Source organism: Homo sapiens, chromosome 1 (assembly GCF_000001405.40).
Source record: "Homo sapiens chromosome 1, GRCh38.p14 Primary Assembly".
NCBI lineage: Eukaryota > Metazoa > Chordata > Mammalia > Primates > Hominidae > Homo > Homo sapiens.
Window position 1 is genome coordinate 85945246 of NC_000001.11, and position 17734 is coordinate 85962979.

At 35.2% G+C, this 17734-nt stretch overlaps 1 protein-coding gene across 22 annotated transcripts in view; it reads right to left on the reverse strand.

The window, feature by feature from the left end:
* The window catches only part of COL24A1 (collagen type XXIV alpha 1 chain), a 427752-nt gene that overhangs the window by 216013 nt on the left and 194005 nt on the right, over nucleotides 1-17734 (reverse strand). For 19 of the 22 annotated variants that reach the window (NR_146340.2, NR_146341.2, NR_146342.2 and 16 more), the window contains one exon: nucleotides 16004-16048. Coding sequence is in view for 16 of the 22 variants with exons in the window: in XM_047417004.1 (XP_047272960.1) it covers nucleotides 16004-16048 (45 nt within the window). In the remaining 6 variants the exon portion in view is untranslated. Of the gene's footprint in view, nucleotides 1-15512; nucleotides 15636-16003; nucleotides 16049-17734 lie in introns of those variants that run through there. The other 3 variants (NR_146345.1, XM_047417027.1, XM_017000930.2) reach the window with 1 other exon arrangement.

Here is a 17734-nt window from a genome sequence, read left to right on the forward strand (position 1 = left end):
TGACCTCATGATCCGCCCACCTCCCGGCCTCCCAAAGTGCTGGGATTACAGGTGTGAGCCACTGCGCCCGGCCGAGAAGAGATTCTTAAATATAATAATACATAACAACATTGTACTGAAAATCCTGAAGCTTAAGGATGCCCTGACTGACTGAAAAGTTGAAACAATTTTATTAAAAAATTATATGTGACTTCTTCAGTTAAACCTTGAGTGTGGTTTTGTATGACCTTTCTCTTGTACTGGAGTTCTGTAGCATATAGAGCAGAAAGCAAGCATATATTCTCATCCTTGAGAATACTGATGACTGAGACCTTAAGACCATCACCAACTGACCTGCTAACTACTGCCACAGATGCCAGATAGGTTGGTCTAATTATGTGGCAACTAGATACATACTAAGCTAGATCTTGGAGTGGGGTGAGTGGCGGGTGCTTCCAATTTCAGGTGGTTCTGGATTTTAAGAGTGAGATGAAGGGACCCACCTTCAGACTTCCTATAGGCAACTTAAGTGACTATCTACATCTTTCAGTCTCTGAAATGTTCTTGAGAGGAATATTAATATAGTTCTTTATGACTTATTTGGTAAATTACTGGTTACTTGGAAGATACGATATAATTCCTCAAATAATGTCTCCTATGAACATTTCATCTGCACATCTGGGCAAAAAGAGTTAAGAGAGCAGGCTTGAGTTTGCCATCTTTAAAATGGCCTGCTTACAAGACTGGCTCTTGGCTGATGTCTGGGGAATTTGGATTTGGGGACAGTTCCCAGCATTTCCAAAACTGGCAAGAGTGGTTCATTGTGCCTCAACTGTTTGTGCAAACAATATAGTTTATGCTAAACACTTGTTTTCCCTCTGAGAGTTTGGAATTTTGCTACATGATAGCCAGAGGGTAGCTATGTGATCAACCCCCAGTAAAAATCATGAATACTGAGTCTGTAATGAGCTTTCCTGGTAGATAATATTTAACATGTTATAGCTCACTTCCGAGTTGAGGGTATTAAGCGCATACTGTGTGACTCCACCGGGAAAGGACTCTGGGACACCGCACCGGGTTTCCGCGGGACTTCACACCATGTGCCTTTTGCCTTTGCTGATGCTCTGTATGCTTTCACTGTAATGAATCTTACTCATGGGTAAGATTCATTCATATGCTGAGTCATGTGAGTCTTACTAGTCAATAATTGAACCTGGGAGTGACTTGGGGACCCTCAACACAGTGTCCTAAGGTATCTCCATGAGAAACCTGGGGAGAAGGAGAAATGTAACTGCCTTGTTATCCTTCTCTTTGTGCAGTAGTAGCAGTAGTACAATAAATACAACCATCACCATTTCTTAAGCACCTTCTATGTGTCAGCTTCATCCAAGGCAGTTCTTATTTTCTACCCCTGACAATAAACACGGTTAAAAGGCATTTACCCTAAGTGGAAGTAGAATTAGAAATCCAGGATCAGAATTCAAATATATCTTACCTCAAAACCCATGTACTTTCTAAAATAACACATTCATTCCTTCTCCTTCTTATGTAACAACTATTTAATGAAAAGCACCTCATTTTTATATGGCAGTTTGTTTAATTTTCAATATTCAAACTGAAACAGAACTACTATTCTGTTGAAATTCTTAACTGTTCTGTGTTCTATATATACACCGACTAGCCAATATGGGAAATTAGTGACTACAAAAAGAAAGAAATCCAGTCAGTGTGTACTTCATGCTTTTTGCACAGGACAAAAGGGATAATTCTGAGTTTCGAAACCTTAGGATTAGATGAGATATTAAATGTAAAATAATTAGCACATGGCATGAACAGATGCTTAATAAGTATTAGTCCCAATTTTCTTATGGGTTACAAATTATTTTGGCAATTAAATCAATGCCTTAACATCCTTGTCCCCATTCCCCTATGTACTGTTTTAGATTTACCTACTAAAACTAGATGAGCACAAAGTGGTCTTGACAAATACATGTAGAACTCAACTGATCCTAGTTGCTACCAGATTGACAAGTATTTCAATCCAAGACTTATTCACTAAATTTCTGCCATATGCCAGGAATGTGTCAGATAATCAGGAAACAAAGGTGAACCCCCATTTACAATCTAGTGTCCGCAGTCCAGTGGAAGAAATGCAGGTTAGTTATAGGTGACATGGAGAAGGGAAATTGAAACCAACTAAATTGCCTTATTCGGAACATGCATATTCTTTCAGTTTCATCTATGCTATTCTAACTAGAAACTTAATGAAAATAAGTTACTATTGCACATATTTTCATGTTGGACTTCTCCTGTAAGTATATCTATTGATACCAGTGAGAAAAAAATAACTGATACTTTAACAATAAAGAGCCTCTGATAATTCTGTTATGGGCAACAAAATATTTGTTTTAAAAAGCTGACTTAAAAAAATCAGTGTAACTGATTGAACTTCAAGTGGCATGTATCACATTACGAAGACTTTACACTATACTACTTCCTAAAATATAACATTCTAATCCAGGCTAATAACTATTTGTAATTTTTTTCTCATATTATTAAAATGAGAATAATTTTAAGGATAGTTCATTTCTGTCAGCAGTACATGGAAGCCCCTCAACCCCCGACAATTTCTCCACCACAGAAGTTTTATGGAATTTGGCAGCCATGCATGTATGCTATAAGAATTTATTTCATTATGTTTTCCCCTCAGGCCATTGTATTTCTTTGAAATACATTCAATTTCTTTGAAATTGGTATTTTTGAAACAGTTTATTCCTTTTTTCCCTGCATCCATCACTTTCTGTACTGTTAAGATATCAATTACTCCATGAAGTCTCATGCATATCTCCTGATGAAAACAATCAACTTATTCTTACTTTGTAAGGGATAGATCAAGTCTCAACTTTTTTCAAGAAGGCTTCTTGACTATTTTAAACCACTATAAGCTCTCATTACCCTTATCCTCTTTAGTAACTAAATTATTTACCATGAACTTTTTGGTAACTAAAGAAACCATTAGGCCGGGCGCGGTGGCTCACGCCTGTAATCCCAGCACTTTGGGAGGCCGAGGCGGGCGGATCACGAGGTCAGGAGATCGAGACCATCCTGGCTAACACGGTGAAACCCCGTCTCTACTAAAAATACAAAAAATTAGCCGGGCGTGGTAGCGGGCGCCTGTAGTCCCAGCTACTCGGGAGGCTGAGGCAGGAGAATGGCGTGAACCCGGGAGGCGGAGCTTGCAGTGAGCCGAGATCGCGCCACTGCACTCCAGCCTGGGCGACAGAGCGAGACTCCGTCTCAAAAAAAAAAAAAAAAAAAAAAAAGAAACCATTAACTCTTATCCTGTTTCTTATATTATAAATATTTACTTTTTGAGATTTGATGATCCTTAAGGAGAGCAATGTCATCATGTGTTTCTGTATACCAACACAACTTAGCAACACCAAGGAGTCAAAAAACTATATTTTTGAATGACTCCTCCCTAACTCATTCTATGAGGCCAGTATCATCCTGATACCAAAACCTGGCAGAGATACAACAAAAAAAGAAATCTTCAAGCCAATATCTTTGATGAACATTGATGCAAGCACATGTACCCTAGAACTTAAAGTATAATAAAAAATATATATATATTAAAAAAAATCCTCAACAAAATACTGGCAAGCTGAATCTAACAGCCCATCAAAAAGAGATGTACAACATTAAAAAATACAAAGAATTGCCAATTACTTAATCTTTTTGAGGTTTTCTGAAACTTTTGCTTAACATTCTTTCCTGACATACTTTTGACAATTTTTCATCTTTTCAGTATCGGTTATCGTGACATATTGGTATCTTCTACTATACTATGAAAGCAATCTGGTCTCACAGTCCTTACTCTTACCCGTTTTGTTATATTATTCTAAGATATTTTGTTTCCAAAATCATAGTTAGACATGATTGTCACTTTTTCATTCAACAAATATTTATTGAACAACTGATAAGTGAAAGAGTCTTGTGCTAGGCAGTATGAGGAATATAAATAGGAAGGGAAACACAGATTCTTCCCTAAGACATTTATAATCAAAGAGCCTAGGGATATAAATATCTAATACACAGGAAGAAAGTGCTAAAAATTACAAAAGACTACATTTTATCAAATTTAACAAGAGATAAAGTTTATTTTCAGCTTGGATATTTAGGGAAGATACAAGGAATAGATAAAATTTGGATATATATACAGAGATGGAAGTCTAGGGCATTTCAAAAGAGAACTGAAATCAAGTTGATCCAAATCATTAATCTTTGAACAAATGTTTATTGAATATATATTATGTGCCAGGTACTGTATATAAGATATAGTCCTTGAGTTTATGGAGCTTTTACTCTATTTCCTAAATATCTTTTATAACTTTCCCCTTCATTGCTGCCCAAGTTGAAGCATTTCGCTGTCATTTCTCCTTAATATTACTGCAATAACTTTGTTATTGGTCTCCCTTTATCTCCAATTCATCTTTTATCTTGCAGCTGCAAGATATTTCTAACTGGCAATATGACTGTTTCAAAATATTACTATAAATTCAATGATCTCCTTACGCTACAGGATACAATGTTAATGACTGTAGATGGCATATATACAGGGTTCCTCATTATTTCATCATTGTCTACTCCTTGTTCAGACCCTTTCTTTCCTCCCTCCTCCCTTTTACTGTATGATCCAGTGGTATAAAACTAACTGTTATTCAGTATATATTGGTTCTCTCATGATTCTCAGCCTCTGTACATGTTCTGTTACCTAGAGTGATGCCTAAGGCCTTCTTACATTTTTAGGAAAACTCCTCCACATTATTCAAGGTCCTGCTCAAGAGCTGACTCTTCTTCAAAGCCCTCCCCTGGTTATCCCACAAAAAAAATGCTGTGCTCTTTTATTATAGCCATAAAATATTGTATCATAATGGATTTTTACTTGTCTCTCACGAACACATAAAAAGCAAGAATTTTTTTTAACTATTTATCTGTAACACCTAACGGTTATGTCTGACAAACAATTGGTATCCAAACAATATTTGTGGAATAGTGACAGACTCAAAAAGCCAGTGGATTAAGGTTGTAAAGAATGGATGCAAAACATATTACGGATGTAGAATTTATAAAAGTAACTCACTGAAAGTAAGTACAAAGGAAAAGAGGGAATATAAGAAAAAAATACTGAGCTTTCATCACCTGGTAACTGGAGAGTGTGGTACCAATTACAGAAAATACTAAGAGGAGGGGGTGAATTGAATTTTAGAAGAAAGGTGATAAGTGTGGGTTTGAACCCAGTAAGTATTAGGCTTGAAAACCTGAAAACAGCCTCAAACAATGGCATAAATAAGTTTTAACTTTACTAAAAACTACAGATCAGGGGAAGTGTTCAGATTTAACTTCATCTGTCATTGATTTCACAAACAGAAGTTACCCTTCATGATTTAGTTTTTGCTTCACGAATCATGGCGCTTAAAGGACTTAAGGTCCAGAAGGGAAAAGACATATTCAAATAAAAAATGGCAAGAAGTGGTAATAGAAACATGTATAAAATACAGAGGATACTTGATGTGAAGTATAGAAGTGATACTGGCATTGACTTGTAGAAAAAAAAGTATTTGTAAACTCAAGAAGTTGGGTGGGACATTACAGGCAACTAGTAGAAGCCAGGTGAGCTGTGACTCATTGTGCCTTACCTACCTCCAGCTATCATGAACTGCTTACAGTACAGTTCTGCAAACGCTCCAGGTCATTTCATGCCTTCATGTTTTATTCTCATGCTGTTGTTCCCATTGAAATGTCCTTCCTTATTCCGACTGCTTCACAAGAATCTGTCGCATTTTCAGACTTAGATTAAGCACACTAATGTCCTCTGAATATACAGACAGTAGCAAATAAATTTTAAAAATTACCTTTCATTTCTTAATTTATCATAGTTCAACATACACATAGTGTCAATGTACAAAAATAAGGCATGTGGTCACTGCTGTAGAAGAGCTTTCTGTATGGATAGTTCAAGTAAAAAAGTTACTGTGATATCAAACAATGAATGCTAAGAACCGTAATAGTGTAGATGAAAGTGCTGAAAAGGCTAAAGTAGGAAGAAACGGAATCTAACTGGGCGTGGAGATTAGAAAAGACTTCATGGTTGAGAAGGTAATTTAAGATGGATCTTGAAAGTTGATGCTTGGTGGACAATGAGGGTGGGAAAGCGAAGGTCTTTAGAGGTGACAGAAACAGCCTGAAACAAAGGCATAAATAAGTGAGTGATGTTTAATGAATATTGAGTGGCCAGATCATAGGGAGTAAGTTGGAAAGTGTAGGAATAACAACTGTAAAGGTAGGTGAGGAATATATTGTGGGTGATCTTAAAAGTCAGAATAAAAATTTTTTACAATTTATATTCTTAAAGCCTCTACAGACTCATTTTCCCCCTTATAATCTACTATGTCCCATTCCCCTAGCATTTTTTGGAGGCATTTATATCATCTTGGTCTTTTCTGATTTTAGTGACAGCAAATTGATTTTATCAACATACCAGAAAAACATAGATTCCAAAACTCATTAATCAGAAAAGTGCTGAGCATAACAACCTTGTATCTCAGCTGTTACTATTTTTCCATTTTTAACTGAAAATGAAAAGGTTATATACTTACAAAAAGTTTTCTACAAAACACAAAGGTGGCTATATTTGTGGTTAAAATAAAATCCAGATTTCAATCAATTATTTTTCTTACAGTCAAAAGTAGAGCATTCATATATTTGTGGTCAAAAAATGCAATGCTGCTCCCCTCATCGGGCTGCTTAGTACAATTAATGAAAAAAGAGACATTTCATAAACAGAAGATAGAGTCCAAATTCAAAATATCTCAACCTGATAGGAAATATAAGTTTAATGACATTCTCTGATAACTTTTTCAAAATAATAAAATGAAAAGTCACTAAAACTTAAAATGTAGAAATGCTTTGATCTGTAAAGCAAGACTTCAAAAAACATGTAAAGTGTTCAGAAAAATGTTTCTAGTGAACATGCGCACATAAAGAACAGATTTCACTCCTCTTGAAAATATTTTCTGGTAAGATTCTTAAGTGTTTGTTAAGGAAAAAAAATGATACATTCCATAAAAGTATTTTAGACATACATGTGGTGTACATGTAAATGCAAATTAATTCATTATGTTCACACTACACAAAATAAATATGTGAGAGCAACACAATTTGTCTGCTAATTTGAATCTGTTTTCTGATTTGAGAGTAAGAGTTGAAGAAATCATCACATTTGTGTTTAATGTTTCTTAATGATAAAAGACAAATTAGGCAGAATCACATATGGTAGATTCATTTAACAAAATCTTGTACATCTCAAATAAAGTATAACCTTCCAGGACAGGAAAGGGCAAACTACAGCCCGTAGGCTACCTCCTGCCAGCTGTCTGTTTTTGTAAATAAAGTTACTGGGAACAGAGCCAGGCTCAATCATTTATGTATTCTCGATGGCTGCTTTCATACTACAACAGTTGAGCAGCTATGATAAAGACCGTATGGCCTGAAAGTCTAAAATATATACTCCCTGGCCCTTTATAAAAAAGTTTCCTGACCACTATTCTATAATGTTTGTAACTTTTAAGTTTTAAAATTTAGTATATTGATTACATAGTCCTTAATATTTTTTTAGAAAAATCAGAACCACAATGATTTTTCACTATTTTTACTCTCAGATTATAATTCAGCCATCACCTTCTCTAAGAGTGGTATTGTCAACAGGTGGCCCAAAGCAATGCCTTTACCTTTGCCCCTTCCATTATTTCCATCAGTCCTTCCCATTCTTTAATACCAACAAGCAATGTATTCTCCATTTGATATATCCTGACCATAAAAGTATCATTAGAACCCTTTGCTATTTTTACTGATTTGTAAATAAAAATAAGACAGAGCACTACTAATAAATGCAAACAGTATAGTTTTTATGCAAACTAGCTTCAGGGGAAGTCCCTTGACAGCCTCTTCCAACCAAAATGCCACCCCTCGACCCCTTCTATATAGAAAGTTAGAGCTGCCATTTCCTCGAAAGTTGTGATTAACACTTTATAATATCCCTACCTAAGAGAATAGTAACATGTTTTTAGCAAAATAAAGCCAGAGTTTCTCTATCAACACCTATGTCCTTATGATAGCTGCCAAAACAATTTTTACTTCTTTTTCTTAGAGTATCTTATGAAAGAGGACTAATGTTTTGGCAAAATTATGTGTATAATTCTTTTCTCATTTTCTAGATCGTATACTACTTAAAGATCAAGTCTTACTTTACTGTTATCTCTAGCACACATTAAGTGTTCAGTAAGTGTCTTCTGAATGCTAGAATAAATAAATGAGAAAAATACTAGTTTTTAACTGTATCTTTCTTTTGTTTGGCTATAAAAATCACAGTATCCTTCTAAAGCACAGAAACATAAGTACACGATGAAGAAAAACATGAGACACACATATTTGTAGACAATGAATTTACTTCAAGTCACAGAATAATGTTTAACCCTATTAGGATTCTAAATATTAATGTCACAGGCACATATACAGAATTACATTGAATGTGATTTTTAAAAAATAATCATTAGGAGTAAATCCTTAAAAATCAGAGGTTATTAAAAAATATTATTTCTATCAATTCTAAAACAAGTAAGGTGATCAAGTTTACATTTCCTTAGTCTGAAGGCTAATGGGCTAATTGCCTCTGGGCAGTAAGCATGTTAAATACTCACATCTGAAAAAGACTGATGCTATTGGAAAAGCAAAGTTCCATTTTAATATCTCTTTTATTTTTATTATTTTGAAGAAGTAATTTATTGTTTTTACAATTTGGGCAATCTGAAAAATTTTATTAGACTAAGAAGGGTACTCTCTTGTTTATTACTCTTTAATATGGCACGTATAATAACTAGCTTGTTTTCTACACCAGTACATGAATGCTAGGTCTAATTCTTTTTCAGTTTCAAAAATGATAAATATCAAATACATGATCCTAAGACATAATAATTTTACATGTCCGTGGTTTTTCAGAATAGCTTCTCAAACCATAATATGGTACATGTGGCCCCATGACCTCTAACTTCATGCAGTAATAACAGGATTATACTTATTCATTAGAAAGACAATTGAAAATCTTCAGCTAATTGCTAAGAGGAAGCAGGATGATGGGGAGAAGTTAAAGATATCTCCTTATCAGTCCCAGCTCTGCTGCTATATGACCTGACTTTGGACAAGTTTCTTGACTTCTCTGAAACATAAGTTTCCTTTTGTATAAAATAGGAATAATAATCATTATTTTCCAGGGTGTCTATGAGGATTAAATAATATAATATATGCAAAGTATCTGGCATATTATCAGTTCTCAATAAATGGTAGCTATTTTTTTATCATATTCAGGTAAACATCCTCCTGATGATGAAATGTATCATGGATATACATTTCATATAAATTTCCATTGCCTGAGAAAAATTACTACCCCCTATTACATAGAAGGTATACAACAGCTTTATTGCTGTTTTATAGATACGAGTAGCCTAAAAACAGGAGGGGTCGATGACATTCTTTAAGATAAAGGCACTGAAACTGCAAAGGCCCTAGCTAGGCATAGTTGTAGAGTTATACTACAGTTCTTCCTGCATGGCTGAATGGTACCACCAGTATCTGGGTCTTTCCCTCAAGGAAATATGACTTCTTATGATTTAGGTAGGTCCCACTAAAACTAGCAGTCTCCTATTGATACGGAAGTGCAGGGTAGGGAAGGGCTGGGTAACTGGTGAGGGCTCCACCCTCAGGCCTGTGCCTAGGATGGCCCACCATGCTCCCCATCCTGTGCCGCTATAAGCCGGATACAGACACAGACACAAATGGGTGGATGATAAGAGAAGCAGAATAACACAACAACAGACACCAGCAGGCCATCTACGGGGAGACCACATGGAATTCAGTTGGTGTAGTTGGGAGAAAAGTCCAGCCACTGGGTGGCCTGACTCCAGGGGAAGACCACCTTCCCATTCCATCCCCTTTTGGCTCCCCATCTGGCTTGCTGAGAACAACCTCCATCACTCAGTAAAACCTTGCACCCATCCTCCAAGCCCACATGTGATCTGATTTTTCCAGGACACCAGGGCAAGAACCCGGGATACAGAAAGCCCTCTGTCTTTGCGATAAGGCAGAGCATCTAATTGAGCTGATTAACACAAGCCGCCTGCAGACGGCAAAGCTGAAAGAGCACACTGTAACACATGCCCACTGGGGCTTTGGGAGCTGTAAACACTCAACCCTAGATGCTGCCGTGGGATTGGAGCCCCAAAATGCTACGCACTACCTGCCTGTCTGCATGCTTCCCCTAGGGGTTTGACAGCGGGACACCAAAGAAATGAGCCACACCCCTATTGCACACCCTGCAGGGGGGATAAGGGAAGTTTTCCCATTTCATTATTAATGAAAGAAAAAATTGGAAATAAAATAAAACCAACATGTATCAAGCTAATTTCATGGTAATTCTACCAGAGGGTAGCAAAACCAATCACTGTATCAAATGAGGTTTTGTGCTGAGCACTTCTACGATATTTTTTTCTGGCTCTTTCAAAGTCTTTCCTATTTCTATCACAAATACATTAAGTTATATTTTCATAATTCTCAGAGGCAAATAACATTTGACAATATTTTTAAAAGTAAATTGCCAGCTTGGCTTAAGATATTACAGAGCAAAATTTTATTTTACCCTTTTTCACATCTCTTAAACATTAATTCTCAAGGATGCACTTCAAGTTTAAAAACAGGACAAATTGATGATTACCTGATGCAGAAAAGAGAGACTTGGAACGGAAGATAAAAATTTTGGATTTGAAATCCAGGTCTGCTACTTACTCACTGTATGAATTTGGATACATTACATAACTTCAATAAATTTCAGTTTCCTCATTTATAGAATGCAATATGAAAACTTATTTCATAAGAGTTGTTTAAAGACTAAATGAAATTAACAGGCCTTCAATAAATATATTTATTTCTTTTTATTTCCTCCACTGACTCCACCTCTTTTTGCTTCTGAATGAATTCGTTATAACCCAGCTCAGAATCAGTCATGAGAGGGTTTATGATTATAAAGGTTTTGTAATGAGAAACAGAGTATCTGATTTTGAGGATTATCCATGCCTTTCTCTTCTTCCTCTCTGCTCATCGGTCATTTATTATACATTAGCACACCAGACAGGAGGCAGAAAAACAGAGAGGACACAGTAGATTTCTCATGAAATCTTACTTTGTTCACCAAAGTCTATAAGTAAAGGAATAATTGTGGTAAATCAAATAAGTTGGGTTATGTTTTAAGAGATGAAACAATGTGGCCAGACTACTGGACAATCATCTGAAAATCTTCACGTGGGGCAGAAATGTGGCAACTGAAACTTAATGTAATCAAGGAAACTGTGAAAAAATAAATCCACATTTTACATATAAAATATGAGACCAGAAAATGACCCTAGAAGTCCCCACCGATTATTTGCCAAAGACATCCTCAGTTTCCTGTTACAGGTAAAAGGCTTGCTTGATTTAAGTATCATCAACAGTAAAGAAAACATAATAGGAGTCATTATCCTACTCATGAAGAAAGCTGTGAAGTCACTGCCTCTAAAATACTTTAGTTTTGTTTGCTCCAACATCAGAAAGACATAATGAAACTAGAAAACGGCCAGAGAAACTTAGAACCAACCCAAATGCCCATCAATGATAGACTGGATAAAGAAAATGTGACGCATATACACCACAGAATACTATGCAGCCATAAAAAAGAATGAGTTCATGTCGTACCATCATTCTCAGCAAACTAACAGAGGAACAGAAAACCAAACACTGCATGTTCTCACACATAAGTGGGAGTTGAACAATGAGAACACATGGACACCACGAGGGGAACATCACACACCAGGGCCTGTCAGGGGATGGGGTGCAAGGGGAGGGAGAGCATGAGGACAAATACCTAATGCATGCAGGGTTTAAAACCGAGATGACGGGTTGATGGGTGCAGCAAACCACCATGGCACATGTATACCTATGTAACAAACCTGCGCATTTTGCACATGTATCCCAGAACTTAAAGTATAATTTAATAAATAAATAAATAAAATAAAAGGGCCAGAGAAAAGAAGTCAAATTTGCAGGTGAGAGGAAGACTAGAAACATCAACATTCTTAGAAAGAAGTCATGGATTCTTAGAATTGGAATTATCCTGAGACAGTCTATATGCCATTTCCTTGTGCTTCCAGAATATTCCTGATAAATCCTAAATAGTTTAGTTATCAAAGGCCTAATTGCACACTGGAGACTGACTAGGATCCTCCCCTGATTTGCAGCCTACCTCCAATCTGTTATCTCAAATATCTTCCAAATATATCCACTTCTCTTTATCTCCACTGGTCTAAATCATCTTTCTCATTCATATAGACTACTACAGAAGCATCCTCATTGGTTATCCTCTTCTACTTCTGCTCTTTACAGCCATGCTTCCCAATCCATTGCAATAAGAGTGATCTTAAACCTCAAACTAAATCATAACATTGGCTTACTTAGCATACCTTTAGCGATTGTTCATTGACCTTACATTCAAGTGCAAAGTAATAAACATGGTCCTAAATGATTGGCTCCTGCCTCCTTCACTAGTATCATCTCACATACCTTCTCCCTTTGCTCATCAAAGCTTATCCACACCAACTTTATTTCAGTTCCTCAAAAGAGCTACCATCACATATAACAATAACCTCCACCACAACAGCTAACATTTATCAAGTTTTTACTACATGACTGGCATTGTGATAAGTGCTTTATGTGCATTATCACTTTTAATCCTCATAAGAAAATCTATAAGGTAGTTATTTTCATCGTTTTACTGCTGAAAAAAAAACAAATATTTAGAAACATTAAGTATTTTTTCCATAGCAAGGTAGGTGGCAAAGATGGAAATTATGTTATATTGCATATTCCAGGGAAGTTTTTTCCCCACCCCTTCCCTGGCTAACTTATATCATTCTTTATGATTACTACTTATATGTCATTTCCTCAAAACAGCCTTCTCTCATCTATTGATCTAAAATTGGCACCCTTGTCATAGTCCCTTGTACTATTTTTTATAGAATGCATCACAGTTTACATATTTCTTTCTGTGACTATTTAATATCTGTCAAACCTCCAATAGACTGTAAATTCCATGAAGGTAGGGACCATATGTTTAAAAATGTGCCTGCTATAATCAATAAATATCTGCCTAATAAATGATTGAAAAAAGACATCAAACCTTCCAATAATAAGGTGTTGGATCACTCTATGGAAGAACCTATTTGAGTGTTAGAAATTCTATTAAAATATTCTTGCCTACATTAAACCAAAAGCTGTTCCCTTATAATGTCTATCCACTGATCCTAATATTGGTCTTTTGGCCAATAGTGAAAAAGAACATGTTTTTTTCTTTACAGTTCTTCGAATACTTTCAGCCTAGAAAGTTTAAGACAGAGAGGACTGGTAATTATGGTTAGATAATTCTAGATTTACTTCTAAACATCTGAATGCTAGAATATGGAAGATGAGAGGGCATCTTTTGAAATTAGAGACTCATCTGGGGCACATTTATGGAAATTAAGTCTTTGTATACTATAAATAATTGCAAGAGGTAGACATGAAATATAGGTGGGACTGCTGTGCTTCACACACTCTATCACAAATTGAATTCTAACTGGTATAAATCTAGAAACAAACAAACCTGGAGGAGGGCCAGTTAAAGGCAATTAATGACTATACAAAAAGATTGAACAAAGTAAAAATCAGCTACTACAATTACAAGATAGATGTCATGAAGTGCAACCATATCTTCTCCTATCTCTCAAGAATTTTCTTGGCAACAGAACTCTGGATTAGATGAACTATATTTCTAAGATTTTGAAATTAGAAAGACAAAATGAAAGCCAGAATTACTGAGAGCCAAAAATAAAAATATTCTTTAGACATTTTATATATTTGAATAAACTTGATATAGGCAGTAATTTTTTAAAGAAGGCTTCATGTGCCATCCTTAACAAGAAAGATAGAATCTCAAAGTTGGAAAGGTCTTTTTGTCTAATAACTTATCAGATGCTTAAAGACTCTCTACAACATTTATATGAGATAGCTATTGAACTAATATTAAAATATCCAAGCATGGCATAATGCAAAGATTTGGATTTTGAGTTTGGAGCTTTGGGTTTAAATCTCAGTTCAGTAATTTATTAGCTATGTAACTTTGAACTGGTTACTCAATGTGCTCCAGATTCCTAATTTTAAAACCAGAATAACAAAATGTATCTTTTAAAGCTGTTTGAGAATTAAATGGAATACCGTAATATGAAATGTCACTTGGCACTATACCTAGTACATAGCAAATGTTCAATAAATGTTATTTTCCCTCCAGTGACAAAAATCTACTACCTGCCAAGATAGTCTGTTTCCTCTTTGGAAAGCACTGGCAGTGGGTTCTTATACTATGTGGAATTAGTCCAAAACTATTAAGTAAATAACACTTAAAAGTTTAATATGTAAGATATTACTTTAAGAAAATATGTTCTTCATTAGCATTTTAACTTCGGATGCCAACTTTATATATATTTCTTAAGCAATTTGTCACTCAGAAATGGCAGAATTTGAGTAATCTTAGAGAAATATGTTACAATCATATTTGACTAGAAGCCTTTAATAACCTAATTCATACAAATACTTCCTTGAAACTTTCCCAGAAAAAGCAAGAACAAAAAGTTCTCCTTCTAGTGACTCAGGATTAATTAGGTATGGCAATTATCTTTTAGGACTACACAGATACTCTTCCTATTTTTATTAACAATTAATAACAAAAAATGGGCATCAGAAATGTTTTGTTGTTTTGTCACAAGACCAAGATTTATAATTAATTATTTAAGCCTATAAAACAACCATATAGAAGAAAATTTTTTAAGTCATAAGAAATAATATTATCTATTTTGTGACAATTAATTTAGCACACTCTGTAAACGAATTCACTTTCCTGGTGTTAATTTAATTTTCCACTTTATGTATGTTATGTAAGTTCATTTGTTAGAGAATATTTTGGCTGGCTTTCTTCATTGTAAAGAATAAAATTACTTCTAACAAATCTGATTCAAATACAACATGAAGCCTGTTCTTCCACAATAATATTAATTTGAACAACTCAAACTTTATTTGAGGAACACAATTACACTTTCCAGCTCAATATCTCTTAATTTACCTCAACTTTTCAAACCTAAAGAAAAACTATCTTCAAGCTATTAAATTATTGTATAATTTAATAAGCTTTTTAATAATGAAAAATGGCTGAGTGCAGTGGCTCACACCTGTAATCCCAGCACTTTGGGAAGCTGAGGCGGGTGGATTACTTCAGGCCAGGAGTTCGAGACTAGCCTGGTTGACATGGGGAAACTCCATCTCTACTAAAAATACAAAAATTAGCTGGGTGTGGTGGCACACACCTGTAATTCCAGCTATCCCGGGAGGCTGAGGCAGGAGAATCGCTTGAACCCGGGAGGCAGAGGATGCAGTGAGCCAAGATCATGCCACTGTGCTCCAGCTTGGGTGACAGAGCAAGACTCCATCTCAATAAATAAATAAATAAATAAATAAATAAATAAATAAATAAATAAAATAGTGAAAAATGTTAAGGTCAAATTAGATTGAAGCTATCAGAATAAAATTAAAAACCAAATATTAGAAACAATGTTTCTGAGGTCACAAATATACTTTATATTGGATGAAAATGTCATCAATTGTGTTTTCTCTCTTTTCTCTTTTGTACAATAGGTTTTATTTGCCAGCAGAAACATCACAAGTAAGTTTAAATTTGTAGTGGATAAGAATTATTCTGATTCCGAGTAACTTGACTATAGCAAACGTAATCATGGCTAATATGATTCCTAAAAATGCTTACAGCTGATTAAAAAATAAGAGCATAAAATAAGCTTACTGTTTCACCAATTTTTCCAATATTTCCTTGATCTCCTACTTCTCCCTGTCAAAAAAGAATATAAAGTTGCAAAAACAGTTATTTTTCAAACTAGATTATTCATGACAGTTTCAATTTTCCTTTTTAATGTAATTATCTAGTCATAACCTAGAAAAAGGCAAAGGAAATTTCAGTTACTTAAAACTTTGTTATAAGTGGAGCAAACCACCATGGCACATGTTTACCTATATAACAAATCTACACATCCTGCACATGTACCCCAGAACTTAAAATAAAAATTTTTAAAAACTCTGTTATAGTATTTCTATGAAATGTGGCCTACCCTCTATTTTCATTCAAATAGTAACGTATCAGTCTGTTCTCACACTGCTATAAAGAACTACCTGAGACTGGGTAATTTATGAAGAAAAGAGGTTTAATTAACTCACAGTTCCACGGTTTAACACCAAGCATGACTGGGAGGCCTCAGGAAGCTTACAATCATGATGGAAGGTAAAGGGGAAGCAAGCACAACTTCACATGTTGGAGCAGGAGAGAGTGAGAGCAAAGGGTGAAGTGCCACACACGTTTAAACTGTCAGATCTCGTGAGAACTCACTCGCTATCCCAAGAATAGCAAGGCGGAAATAAGCCCCAATGAGCCAATCGCTTCCCACTAGGTCCCTCCTCCAGTTTGACATGAGAGTTGGGCAGGGACACAAATCCAAACCATATCAGGTAATAATCTATTTTCTTAAAAAATATTCTCCTATTCGTGACTTTTAATCACTTTTATCAATAAAATTTTTAAAAATAAAATCTTTATTGAGGTGTACTCTGTAAAAGGCAGAGTAGTAAGCACTGTGAAAGATATTAAGAAGAATAAAATTAAAGTCTTTCCCACAGGGATGTTCTATTTGCTCAAATAGAACAGAATACATGCCACAGGTTAAGTACTAAAGGAGGTCTTAGGAGCAGGCACCCTGTGAACTGGAGCAGCTAGAGCTGGCATCACTGGAGAAGTAATGCATGTTCATAACCTCTGAAACAAAATTTTGCAATCCATAAATCTCTGAAAACTCAGTTTTCCACAACTCATTTGGTGGCAAACTTGACCTAACTTGGATTGATTTGGCAGTAAAGCTTATTTTGTTCTGAATAAGGCCATTTATAGTCTTGATTTATTCCAATTAATCTAAACGTCCTTACATTTCACTACAGAAATATTAATATATCTAATTATGGTATGCTGTCCCACACCCTTCTGGTAGTGGTAAATAAAATACAGCATATGCAACATATTACTTTTCAAAAATCCAAACATTAATGATTTCAAATAATGGATTATGAAACTGTAAGTGGGGCCCTGAAAAATATGTGATACTTAACACTGGTAATGAGAAAGCGTCATTTTTAGTGGTGAGGAATGGCATCAGCAAAGGTATAGATTAACGAAAGGTAAAAGATTAAGTTCAAAGTACAACAGAGACTGACTCTAAGAGCAATATACATTTAGTGTACAGAAACAGATTAAATATGTTATGTCTAAAAGTAATCAATTACTGTCTAAACAGTAATAATTATATTCCAGTGTAGAACAGTAAGATGTTAAGATACTGAAAAATATTGTAGCCAATAATGACATGTGGCTACTGAATATTTGAAATAGGCTGGTCTGAATTGAAATGTGATGTAAGTATAAAAAATACATCAGACTTCAAAGACTTTCTACAAAACAAGAATAGAAAACATC